Source organism: Homo sapiens, chromosome 4, assembly GCF_000001405.40.
Source record: "Homo sapiens chromosome 4, GRCh38.p14 Primary Assembly".
NCBI classification, from domain to species: domain Eukaryota; kingdom Metazoa; phylum Chordata; class Mammalia; order Primates; family Hominidae; genus Homo; species Homo sapiens.
Window position 1 is genome coordinate 94259391 of NC_000004.12, and position 13895 is coordinate 94273285.

General features: G+C 33.8%; 1 protein-coding gene across 32 annotated transcripts in view; it reads left to right on the forward strand.

Annotated features, from left to right (window-relative positions):
* SMARCAD1 (SNF2 related chromatin remodeling ATPase with DExD box 1) overlaps positions 1-13895 on the forward strand; it is an 83685-nt gene that overhangs the window by 51783 nt on the left and 18007 nt on the right. For 19 of the 32 annotated variants that reach the window (NR_164736.1, NR_164724.1, NR_164734.1 and 16 more), the window contains 2 exons: positions 5317-5516; positions 11338-11428. Coding sequence is in view for 11 of the 32 variants with exons in the window: in NM_001128430.2 (NP_001121902.1) it covers positions 5317-5516; positions 11338-11428 (291 nt within the window). In the remaining 21 variants the exon portion in view is untranslated. Of the gene's footprint in view, positions 1-5316; positions 5517-6671; positions 6849-7357; positions 8855-11337; positions 11430-13895 lie in introns of those variants that run through there. The other 13 variants (NR_164729.1, NR_164722.1, NR_164737.1 and 10 more) reach the window with 4 other exon arrangements.

Below are 13895 nucleotides of genomic sequence, written 5' to 3' on the forward strand. Positions count from 1 at the left end.
AAAAACTGTCTACTGCTGTTTTACATTCGTGGTTAGTGGATTGTTATTAGATAGATCTAAATTCTAAATCAGCAGCAGTCATTTTGATCATCTCTAAAGTTGGTTTACCTGTGTGGGAGGGGAGAGGTAGGGAGTGTTAAGGGGTCCTAAGGAGTTGTTCTGAAATTTCAACTTCAAAATAACCAAAAAGTGAAGTTCAGTTAAAAATCTCATAACCAACCCTTAACTGTTAAAGCGTCCTGAAGTAAGAATGACCTTGTACTCCCCTTCATTGCCTCCCCCATTTTGTTATTACAAGAAATTTAAGCACACAGTGTTATAATGAACCCCCATGTGTTTCTTCCATACTCTTGTCCACTTCCTTCCATCATATTATTTTGAAGCACATCTCAGACATCATTTTATCCTTATAATTTTAAATGTGTATCTCCTGAAGAAACCATAACATTCTTATATCTAATAAAAATCATCAATAATGTCTTAATATCAAAATATTCAGAGTTCAAATTTCCAGTTGTCTCATAAATGCCATAGTGTTTGTTCATTTGTTTTATAGTTTGTTAGTTTGAATTAAGATCCAAGTAAGGTCCACTTATTAAGATTGCTTGATAGGTCTTTTAATCTGTAGATTCCTCATCCCTCTCTCTCTCCCCCTTCTGTTTTTCCAGTTTTTGGTAAAGAAACTGGGTCATTTGTTCTATAACTCTCCTGTCTAAACTTTTCTGATTATACCTCCCCAGTGTAGTTTAACATGTTCCACTGGACTAGTACTTTCTGTAAAACGATCATTAGAAGGTTAAATGCACCCACCAATATTATTACATAGTTAGTGATGTGTTCTTTCATCAGAAGACAGTAATATCTGATTGTTACTTTTTGTAACATTAGCATCTGTTGATGCTACATGTCTGGATCCATAATTCATTAGCCATTGCAAAATTAATACTTTTTATTTTATTTTTTTTTATTTTGAGACAGTCTCTCGCTCTGTCACTCAGGCTGGAGTGCAGTTTCGTGATCTTGGCTCACTGCAACCTCTGCCTCCTGGGTTCAAGAAATTCTTGTGCCTCAGCCTCCTGAATAGCTGGGATTACAGGCGTGCACCACCACACCCAGTTAATTTTTGTATTTTTAGTAGAGACAGGGTTCCACTGTGTTGGACTTGAACTCCTGGGGCCTCAAGTGATCCACCTGCCTCGGCCCCAAAAGTGCTGAGATTACAGGCGTGAGCCACCATGCTGGCCTGCAAAAATAATATTTTAATACTGTTATTGCTGCTTGTTGAGGAAGTATCTATAAAAGAACTTCTTACATCTACCACTCTAAATGTTGCCGTTCATATACAAAATTCAGAATAAATGTTTATTCTTTCCTTTAATTTTCCAGCTCTCAAAGTGATTGGTCACCCCCACCTTTTAACCCTTTCTTGTGGCTTCCAAATGACCATAATTAATTTATGCTCTCAAAAAATAAGTAAAAGGAAGAAAATTTTTTTAATAAATAAAAAGACATCAAACTTAAATGTGTAAATTGGTACAGCTTAAGTGAATTTGTGATTTATGTCTGCTGTAATTTTTTTTATATTAGGAAGTTTCAGCTATGAAGGAAATTTTACACTTCAAAAAGCTGTTCAGTGGCAGAAAATATGATAATGACAGATTAGATCACAATATGCTAATTTTTTCAGAGTTACCTCTCGTGTAACACAGCTTTTGAAAATATTTGAATAGTACTATATTCTTTTTTAAGTGAAAAAAAAAAAGAAACCTGTAATTGCTTTATAAAGATTCAGTGTGCTTCAGCTTCACTTTGAATATATCCACTTAGTATAATCTAACATTGGTTTTCTTAATAATGGTTGTGTGACTTACATGTTAGGAATCTTCACAGTACACATTTTACTTTTTATCTGTTTCTCAGAAAATATTGACTGTTATTTATCACTAAACTCATAATATGCTTAGGCACTAACCTTCAACAATACAGTAACATCTTTAGATTTCTACCGAATTGTGAATATGTTATTAGATGAATATTTACCTCTCCATGTGTTTCTGGCACATATCTTCAAAGCATAACTATTATGAATAAAATTATACATTTATAACCACTGTGAATAGTTACGTATTTAATTACTCAGAACTGTCCATGAGAAATACTATAGAAATTATTTACCATGTGGTGTATTTTATATAAATTCATTATAATTGGTGAAAGATTAAGTTTGTTTGTTTGTTTTTGAGACGGGGTCTCACTCTATCACCCAGGCTGGAATGCAGTGGCGTCTTGGCTCACTGCAACCTCTGACTCCCGGGCTCAAGCCATCGTCCCACCTCAGCCTCCTGAGTAGCTGGGACCACAGGCACGTGCCACCACACCGGCTAATTTTTTGTATTTTTGGTAGAGATGGAGTTCTGCCATGTTGCCCAGGCGGGTCTTGAAATCCTAGGCTCAAACAGTGCTCTTGCCTTGGCCTCCCAACATGCTGGGATTATTGGTGTGAGCCACCACAACCGGCCAGTTTATTGTTTTTTGGCAGTTAAAACTTAACACTTCACTTTTTGAAATTATTTCTTCCTTGGCTTCTCTGATACCACATCCTACATTTCTTCTTGCTCTGTCTTTTTAAATGCTTCTAAATGTTGGTGTTCTTCAAGGTTTTGCTCTCAGTCTTCTAATCTCCAATTTCATGTGCTTTTCCTTAGGTAATCTCATCAGCATCTTTGACTTTGATGGTCACCTGTGTGGCATCTTTTTCTCCAGCTTACATCTCTTCCCTAAGATACAGATCTTTATTTAACTAACCACTGGCTCTTTCTCGAAAATTTGGTAGCTGCCCCAAATTTAATATATCCAGAAACAGACTTCCTTTGCCATCTTGGTAAATTTTAATCTCAATAGATGGTACCACTAATCTGTTAGCATTGAAGCCAGAAGTCTGGGAGTCAGGCTTAACTCTTCATTCATCTCCCCACACTTAATGGGTTCTACCTCCTGAAGATCGTGAATCTTATCAGTTTCTCCGTGTCCAACACAGACCACTATTGTCTCTCAACTCAAAGCCTTCTTAATAGTTTTTTGCTCTCAAGCCTTCTTCACATTACTCTCATAGAGTTCTTTCTAAACAGGAACTCTCTAAAACCCTTCAATAGCTTTTTAATGCCCATAAGTTCAGTTTAGAACGCATTAAAATGATTCATACCCTTACTGCCTTCCTGTTCAGACTTGTCTGTTGCTTCTCTAGGTTCTGACATGTGAATTTATCTTTCCATTAAAACAGTTCTTTTATTATTTCTGGCTTCTTACTCCATAAGGAATTACTAGGTCTTAGATTTTATTAGTCTTTTTGTGATGAGTGCCCATGAACTTTTGTTGTTTCCCTTGTTTATACCAGAGGTTATGCTTGAAATTGTTACTTGTGTTTCCCAATGTTCGTAGACCACAAGGACAGGGCTGTGTCTATCTCCCAGATAATTCAACAGTTACAGTAATTTCTGTTAAAAAAAAAAAAAAAAAAGAAAGAAAAGAAATGGTAGTTGGTTACAGAAAAAAAAAAGTGTATTTTGAACTTTTAAGGTCTTAAATTATTTTATTTAGGGAGGTACTAGTTATACAGTGAAAAGGGCATGGAATTTTTCTCTTACCCAGCTTTGTGATGTTGGAAATTGAACCTTAGTTTTTTCATCTAGATTTGGTAGGCTAGTCTTGGTAGTTGTTACGAGGATTTAATGAGTTACTGAATAAAAGGTATCTAATAGTTACTAGCACATAAATGGCACCTAATGTATGTTCATTCCTTATTTCCTGATTAATTTGTTGGGTTTCTCTCACATTTCAATGTATTACACACACATACTACAATCAGCATGAGATTGGTTTATGGCCTATAATTTTTGGTTGCATTTAAAAATAAAAGTATTTTAGCTAAAAGTTCTAATAGAACCTCCTTAAGACACTGATTGTTATCTATACTGCTGCTTATGAATAGATCTTTCCCCTGAAAAGCACAAAGTAGGGGGAGTAGGAGATCATATTGTGATTATGAATTTTGTCCCTGTGAAAAATATAGAGTAGTATGCAAATAAACTTAGTATTTAACAGTGCCATTTTTGAAGTGCTAAGAATAGATTGGATATTTTGTATATTTCCAAGTTATTCTAGGATAAATATGGAAAATGTATATTGCTATAAACTGTATTTTATTTAGTTATCTTAGTATATCCAAAAAGCACTTAATTACTATTGCTTGAGCTTTTTGCTGAACTTAGAAATACTGTGATCACAGTGATTACTTAGAGTTGTTAATGTGATTCTTGTCATAACTTGGAAAAATATGCTAAATAGGATGACATGAATAAAAATCGTGTGGTATTTTCCTAATAGATGGTTTTATTTTAGTTTCCTAGATTTAGTTCTGGCTTATGGGATTTTCATTTTTGCCCCAAGTATTTCAAATAGCTTTTGGACTTTCTCATCCTTTCCACTAAAAATATTTTTTGTCATGTTTTATAGAATATATATTTTCAGCTATCTATCTGAAAAATTCTAGTTCTGATATAGCTTTTACATATGAAGTATTCAGTGCCTCCTTTTGAAAAATAAATACAACTATATTTTGAAAGAAATTCTGTGAGTTTTCACAGAGAACCATTTATAGTATTATATTGAAATTGGTTTTTAAAAACCTTATCTAATTATTGAATTGGTCATAGTTAACTTTTGATTCATGTGATATCTCTCCGTGTGATAGTCTGTTTAGAAGTAAAGTATCAAGTGACAAATAATTAGAGTTTTGAAAACTTGAGGGGCTATACTTTGATGATAGATGTGGAAAAATATCTTTTAAGATTAATCTTAATATGTAATAGTCATAGGAAATGACAAGTAGAGGTGAGAGATCAGATTTGCAGTGACTACATTTGATACTATTACCTTTGGTATTAGGGAAAAGTGAATTTAAGATTTTGAAATGTTTTTAAAAACTTGATAGGAGATAGTAACAATTACTTGTGAATGTTTCTCTTATAAGAGAATAGCTGCCAGGGTCAAAGTAACAAGTTTGGGATTATGCATTTTTTGAGGTAAGATATATTTTACTTTAACATAATGAGTTTGATGTGTGACAGTAGAATATAAAAGTGAAACATGTAGCAACTCAAATATAAACATGAAGAATCAGGTTCTCTTAGTAGTTGACTATAAGCTCATTAAGTAAAAGTTTAAATTAGCAAACTTGTTTTCCTCATAAAGAAATCAGGATTGCCTTTCTCTTTCCTAGATCTGAACTATTCAATTATTTTTCTTTTTATGCTATAGTTCACAAAGATGTCCAAAACTAATGGCTTATCAGAAGATTTGATATGGCACTGTAAAACACTGATCCAAGAAAGAGATGTAGTTATAAGGCTTATGAACAAATGTGAAGACATTTCAAATAAATTGACCAAACAAGTTACCATGCTTACTGGAAATGGAGGTGGATGGAACATAGAACAACCTTCCATTCTAAACCAAAGGTAATCTTTGTTGAATATATTTATTCGTATTTTATCTCAATTATACAAAATATCTGAATTTATTTCTGTATCGTGCCTAGAAAGTGATATGGCAACTAGTGGTAGGAGAGAACCCCCAGGTTTTCTGTAATGGCACATAAGTGGACTATGAACTGTTTTTCATTGATTTCCCCCACCCCCAAGTAGGGTATTTTATTCTATCATATCATTATAAATTAAAGGGGGGGATGGTATGATACTATATGACCAGTGTCTTTTTTGCCTCATAACAGGTAATTGTTTATATAATCAGAGAAACTGAAAAAGTGGTTTTAGTTACTCCTATACACAAATTTGATATCCTAAAAAAAGTCAGCTGCTTAATTGCATCAGCGTAAAACCTCCTTTCCTAGCCCATTTTCTTTTTAATCATAAATAAAATGAAATGATATCCCATACTGTGATGAAATGTTTTAAATGATAAGGCCAGCTTTTTAAATCTCCTTTTGGGGTAGAAATACATCAGCAAGGGAAAGGACAGATACTTTGATTAAATAGATCATATAAGTCTACATATTTCCCCAATTTGCTACTTTCAATAAAATACTTGTCAGAATTCATGCAAAAAAAAAATACTGTCTAGTGGCCAGTACATATTAAAGTGGTTTTTGTAATTGTGATCGCCCACATTTTGCATGTTGTTGGCAGATTGGGGTGGGGGAAATTGTGTTGAACTTCCTTTAAAAGTTTGTATATTTTTAAGTAGTTTGGAGACTCAGAACTGTTCAGAATACTTCCCTTTTTAAAAAAAATAATATAAAACTGTTAATAGTATGATATTTATAGTGGCAAAACCATGGAAACAAATGGAGTTCCTAAAATTAGGGAATAATTGAAATGAATTATGGTATATCCATACTTTGCAATGTTACACAACTTTCAAAATGAGTTACATCTGTTCAAAGTATTTCTGATAGGTTAAGATTAGCAGTAGGATCTCATTAAAATTAATTGCCTTAGTTGCTGATTTTATTTACTTCTGATATTTTTCTAAGTTAATGATCAAAGCATATTTGCTGATCATTGGTTAATAATTTAAAATCAAGGTATGGAAAAAAAAACAAGATGATTACTGGCCTTTAATAGTAAGCTACAATCTTTTCTGTGCCCTTCTAGGGTGCTATGGGATGGTGTAGGGAAACGTGATGCAGTTCCCACAAAGAAGCTCTTTTCTCTGTTGCATAGAAAGAACTATATCAGCAAATTTCATCTCCTAAAAGTGTAGTTGGAGCTGCTGCTTCTTGTTCTCCAGCATTGGATATGGGGAGTTCTTCACTCTACAAGACTTACCCAGTTGAGTCTACTTTATCATAATTTGGATTTTTAAAAATCAAGTGCTTTATTGCATCACTTTAAAAATTTCTCTCTCAAAACCACATTCACAAAGTCCTGTTACTTGTAAATAGTTTGATCAGGTAATAAACTATCCTTTCCATTAGACTGAGGATTTTTTAAATGAAATACTTAATAGATGAGAAAAATAGTTGTTGTTGTTGTTTTTTTAAGTGCTTGTTGGATCTTATCCAAAGTACAACTTCTAAAACCTATATGGATAGTCTCTTTAAAGTTTATTTAAGTGCACTTTTAGGGGTTAGAATTTGTTGTCTTGATTTTTGTTCTTCAGCCAAGGTAAGAGTTGCATAAGCAATTTTTACTTGGTGTACTGGCCAGGCATTGTGGGTACTTAGTATGTAGACATTTAAAGTTGTCTCCTTGCTTTAGTAAAGGATTTATTAGCACAGAGGAAAATATTAGACTATCCTGATGAATAACCTATCATGCTTGCATTTTTCTCTAAACAGAACAAGTTCTTCATGACGAAGTTTACTTTGCTACAAACTGTTGCAAATTTATGTGAATTGTAGGAGAAGAAAGTTTGCCTTTTAGAAATACAAATATTCCGGAATTCCTTGTGAAAAATGACATCTTTATAGGGAAAAGCTAAAGTTTTCATATGTACTTCAAAACCATTACTTTCATAATCTTTATTTTAAAATGTCAAAATTTAAATTGTTTAAAATATAATACAGTGAGGAAAAAGAAAATAAATCCTTAGTATTTCTCCTGTTTTATTCTTACTATAGATGTAGCCATCTCTAAAGCTTTAGTTAATTAATCTATAATTTATCAGCCTTAAAAGATTTCTCACATGTTCAGAATACAATATATTTAATCAAGTGTGTCTTGCCTTTTGAGCTAAATCTGCCAAGGTTCTTCTGATCTTGTTCATCCTGAACTTGACAGCATGGTTCCTACCCTGTTCTTACACAGGAGCTCTGAGACCCTTTGTCAGTGATGTGAACGCAAATTAACACTGCAGATGTGGTTTCACTAACTCAAAAGTAGTAGGATGTAAATGTTTAGTTTGAACATTTCTGTCACTACAGACTAATATTGTGGTAGTATTTGCAGCAGCCATGTCATACTTACGGGACATAAACTTTTGGTCGGACAGCATCCGTAACCTGTTTTCTATGAACTGCTTTAAACAAGTCTCTCTAGCCCTGTATTTCTGTATTTTAAACTCAAATTTATCACATCACATGTACCCCTGTTGTTTCTATTTTACGCCTTTCTCACCTTTGAAAATAATTTTGGAACTAGTTTCTCTGGCAGATTTAAACCCAATTGAATTTTCAGACTGTGGAGAAATCATAGTAACTCTGGAGGGAATTTTTTTTTTCCCCTAACAAAACAATAACTTCAAAATAGCCTGTTGCCTCATTTTCTTTCATTATCTCAGAAAATCTTTAAATCACTTTTTTCCTTAGTGAGAGATAAAAAATCTTCAGTTCAGAGATATTTTAATACTCTGTTGAGAAGAAAGCACTTAACTTATTCAGAAGACCTGAGCAAATCCCCATGTTCTTAACAGTAAATTGGTGGTTCAGATATATATTTGGTCATGAAAATTCTTAGAAAACTGTGAAGCGTCAAAATAGATGGGAAATATGATTATATAGCATCTAAATATTAGAACCAACTAGAAAAGAATATAGGTATCCTATTTTTAAATGTTGTTATAATAAATGGGTTCAGAGTCTATCAAAATTGCATTTTCTTTGGTCCTTTTACATGCTGAGAAAGGATCTGTAATTGGCAGCAGTTCCGTGATAGTAAGCAACAAAGCTACTTGTAATTTAGACAAATCTAACAGAACAGCAAACATATATACACATTAATACTTTATATTTTTATAACAAATATTTCAATGTAATAAAACCATTTCATGTCCTGATCAAAACACCTTACCATAATTTGTCATTTTGAATAAAGCAATTTTATTTAAATTTTAAAAATCTGTGTAGTTTTTTAAATTTCCTCATCACTTTTTAAAATTTGATGTTATAGTGAGTATTTTGACAGTTAAATAGACTCTTTTCCCAATGTGTGTTGGTGATGAAGAATTTCAGTAATTTTTGTTTATTAAGAATATTTCGTGGCTATTTGTGATAGGTTGTATGTTGGGATGGCATGTGGGTCCTTGGCTGCATTTATAAGTGATGTATGCCTACCTTATCAAGTTTCATTAGTCGTAAATTGTGAGCCTTATGTGAATAGGATGACTAAAGAATTGGGAAGGATGCATAAAAATAATGGAAAACTCAGTGTGTTGACCGTAGGATGGGTGGGTCAGGATGAAAGATAATTTTTTCATTTCTACTATTTACTGGTTAAGTGCTGAGCTCTGGATCACACCTGGATTGGATACTGACACTACCATTGCAGATACAGATTTGGTTAGCTACATGACCTTGGGCAAGTTACTTAACTTCTGTGAGCCGCAGTGAACTTCTCATCTGTAAAATGCAGATAATTAATATTTCCTATTTTTAATATGGATTAAATGAAATAATAATGTATATTAAGCCCATAGCATAGTCTGAAATATGGTAAATATTCCAGTTTTAGCATTTACTCTCACCGTTATAGTAGAAATAATTGTTTTGGATCTGGAAATTAAAATGTCTATGATAACATGTTCCATTTGTTACTACTTTTATAGTAGTAGCATAGAAATTATATTGATTGGGAAAGCAAAGACCTTTTTTAAAATTCAGCAAAAGAATTGTAAAGACAGAATTAGAAAATTATAAAGACAGAATTAGAAAAGAATTATAAAAGGCAGAATTAGAAATACTGCTTTTTCTCCTACCTATACTTTTAGTTGTATTAAATGGGAAATGTTTTATAAGTTGCATACCCCACAGTTAAAACATAGATTCTGATTTAAGATGGACATCATTCAACTACCTGTTCTTCACTCAGTTCTAATTATGTCTTGATTTCAGAGTTTGATCCTTCAACAATTTATTATACTATAGCTATGTCCAGACCCTTCCCTGTGTGCAAACAGGATATATGCAAGAGGAGATTAAGGGGACAGGATAAAAGCTGGAGAATGGGAGGCATGGCCTTGTCCTATGTTTTCACATTAATGTAAGGTGTTTTAGTGAATATGAGAATAGGCTTTGGAGTGAGATCGACATCCTGAATTAAAATCTTAGTCTTAACACTTTGTAGCTATGCAACCTCAGGCAAATTAAGTTTTTTTTTTTTTTTTATCTGTTAAAGTGATGATAGTAACTACTTTATGGGATTTTTAAAGGGTTAAATGAGGTGATGTTTGAAAAATGATATCTGTGCCTATGTATAATAGATGTTCAATAAGTGATAACTGTTAATAGTTTTTAACCATTTGAACTATTGTTTTCATTCTGTTGTTGTTGTTGTTGTAATTGAGACAGGGTCTGGCTCTGTCACCCAGGCTGAAGTGCAATGGCATGATCTCAGCTCACTATAACTTCTGCCTCCCAGGCTCAGGTGATCCTTCCACCTCAGTCTCCTGAGTAGCTGGGACTACAAGCATACGTCACCATGCCTGGCTAATTTTTTTTGTATTTTTGGTAGAGATAGCGTTTTGTCAATGTTGCCCAGGCTGGTCGCGAACTCCTGAGCTCAAGCAATCTGCCCAGCACAGCCTTGCAAAGTGCTGGGATTACGGGCATGAGCCACTGTTTTCATTCCTTATAACTCTGCCATATTACTTTCCAAACAATTCATTCTCAGGGATTAGTCTGTTTATATGTTTCCAAATTAAATAAGGTTTTTGACACTTGAATGCTACTTTCTACTCACTGATGTTCACTGTCTTTTAGCATTTGCTAAAACATCAGTGAACATCAGTGAGTAGAAAGTAGCATGTAAGTGTCAAAACAAATAATTTTGCTAAACATGTGCTGTGTACATTTGTACGTAGTATGCACATAATACACACATAAATGCGTGCTTCAGAATTATACATACCACTGATATTAGGAGTGATTGACACACATTCAGAAAGTATTTATTAAACCTACCTGGCCAAAGTAGCAAATTATGTTTGTGTTTTTTTGTCCTAATACTTTTAAGTTCTTTAATGTGCTAAAAATCAAATCAACACAATTCAATTTTCTATTATAGATACTAGCTTAGTATTAATATTATCATAGTTAATATTCTAATCATTTATGGAATTAATTTGGAGGTACTATATTATGACCAAATATGGAAATGCTTGATTCTTACTGCCAGAAGAAATAGAATAGAGAATAAAGTTTGAGAAGATCTGAAAAATCATTTATGTCTTGGGTTCATTTTTTTTAAGTAGGTGTACATAGCATCTAACAGTTAAAAGGTAAGATTAGACCTAGGCATTTTAGTTTTTATGTGCATTGTAATAACTAATAGAAAACTGATAGAAATATAGATGTGTAATATTTGGTAACTCTCTCTTTACCAGTTTGTCACTCAAGCCCTATCAGAAGGTTGGTTTGAATTGGCTGGCATTGGTACATAAACATGGACTTAATGGCATTTTGGCAGATGAAATGGTAAGTGTACTTTATTTCTAAGATTTGTTGTTGAAAGTGTCATTAAAAGGTATTCTTGCTGTCATTTAAAACATGAAACTTTTTTTTGCTACTGTAGTTAACTACTGCCACCTCAGTACCTTATATTTTATCTCATCTTTGTTTTTGATAGAGTTAGTTCTACCCTCCTCACTCCTCCCCAAGATGAAGATAGATTTATTGTCTTTCTGATTATCAGATTAGTAAATACATGTTGCAAACATAAAAATACAAATTAAAAAATCGAAATCAAAGTCACCTGTAATTCTACCACTTAAACAAGAACTAGTTTGGTGTCTTCTTTTCTAGATACTACCTTCTGCAGATGTTGTGTATGTACATGTGTACGTACATACATATATGTGCTTTTTCTACAGCTGCCTTTAAAATTGTAACTTAGATCCCTGTCCTTGTCAGTAAACAAATCCACATATATATCAGCAACATCATTTCAGCTATTTTATTTTTATTAGCGGTCTCTCCGGGTCTCTGTTCTTTCTCAAATCACATTGCCTTAAAGCTGAGTTCACAAAGTTTGTTATAGCCAGTAGTCCAGGTGTTGTCATATGGAAACTTGACCTTTAATCTAACATCTCTATTCCTCCAGCTATACTTTTTTGAAGTGTATATTTAAAATGAGTCATGTTCAGCAAAGAAAATGTTACACTGTGTGTTGGATTCCTAAAATAAAAGTTAACACAGATAATGATATTTGTTCCCTCATTAGCCTCTAAGAAAGTAATCTTTAGCATTGTAAGATATTTTCCCATATATATTTCATACTGTCATTAAAACACAGATACTGTTTATCTAATAGAAAAGTGAATAATATTCACAGGATTTCAAAATACTTACAGAAATTACCGAATATATGTCATTTCAGTTGTGTGACTGCACTTGGAAATCAGACCTGGGTTTGGGGTCCCCAGCTTTGCCTTTCAGGAGCTATCTGATCCTTTCCAGTTGACCTAATCTCTCAAAACTAATAATAAAATGTAGATAGTCTTTATATCATAAGATTGCATTTGCTATCAAATGAGGTATATATTATGTGAAACTATTTTTGTAACCTGTAAAGCGCAACACAATATTTATAAGTTGATGGCTTAGTCAGCTAGCATTGCCATAACAAAATACCACAGACCAAGTGGCTTAAACAACAGAAATTTGTTCTTCACAATTCTGGAGGTGGACAGTCCAAGATGAGTGTATCGGTAGCTTGCGTTTCTCCTGAGTCCTCTCTTTGACTTGAAGACAGCCACTTTCTTACTCTGTCCTTATGTGGCCTTTTCTGTGTATGTACACATGCCTGATATTTCTTCTTACAAGGACAGTCATATTGGGTTCAGGCCCCACACTTATGAACTCATTTAGCCTTAATTTCCTCCTGAAAAGCCTTGTCTCTAAATACAATGGCATTTGAGGTTACGACTCCAACGTATGTATTGTCAGTGGGAAGGAGGTGGACACAATTCAGTCCACAACAGTTGATAGCATTCAGTTCCCCTGAGGATCTGTATCTCCTAAGTAACTTTTTTAAACCAGTATTTTAATGATGTCTAATTTAGTTGCAGTAAAATGTACAAATATACAGCTTAGTGACTTTTTACATATATGTACACCCATGTGACTACTACCCAGAGAAGCTTTTCCATCATCCCAGAAAGTTTCTCATGCTTTTTTCCAGTTACTGCTACCACTATTCTTATACCTATCCTCGTGGATTTTTTTCTGGTTATGTAGTATATGCAGTATACTCTATACTATTTGTTTTTGGTTCATTTGGTGCAACATAATGTTATTGAGATCTATCTGTGTTCTTATATGTATCAGTAATTTTTTTGTTTCTGTTTTTGTTTTTTTAAATTGCCATGTGGTATGGTAGTCCGTGGTATAAATACAGTGCAATTTGTTGATCTTCTTCTGTTGGATATGAATATTTAGGTTATTTCTTTTCTTTTCTTTTTTCTTTCTTTCCTTTTTCTTTTTAAGCAGGTGCTTGCTCTGTCACCCAGGCTGGAGTGCAGCGGCGCACTCTCAGCTCACTGCAGCCTCGACCTCTTGAGCTTAGGCAGTCCACCCACCTCAGCCCTCCCGAGTATCTGGGATCACAGACATGCGCCACCATGCCTGGCTAATTTTGTATTTTTGTAGAGATGGAGTTTTGCCATGTTGCCCGGGCTTGTCTCAAACTCCTGGGCTCAAGTGATCCACCCACCTCAGCGTCCCCAAGTTCTGGGATTACAGGCATGCACCATGGCACCCAACCTATTTAGGTTATTTCCAGTGTTTGGCTATTAAGATAAAACTATGAACATTCTTACCCAAGTCCTTTTGCCAACATAAGCGCTCATATCTCATGATTATATTCTTAAGGGTAGAATTGCTGGGATAGATTAGGCATATGTTTCCTCCATTTAGTCATGGGACATTGCCCTTAAACCATTCA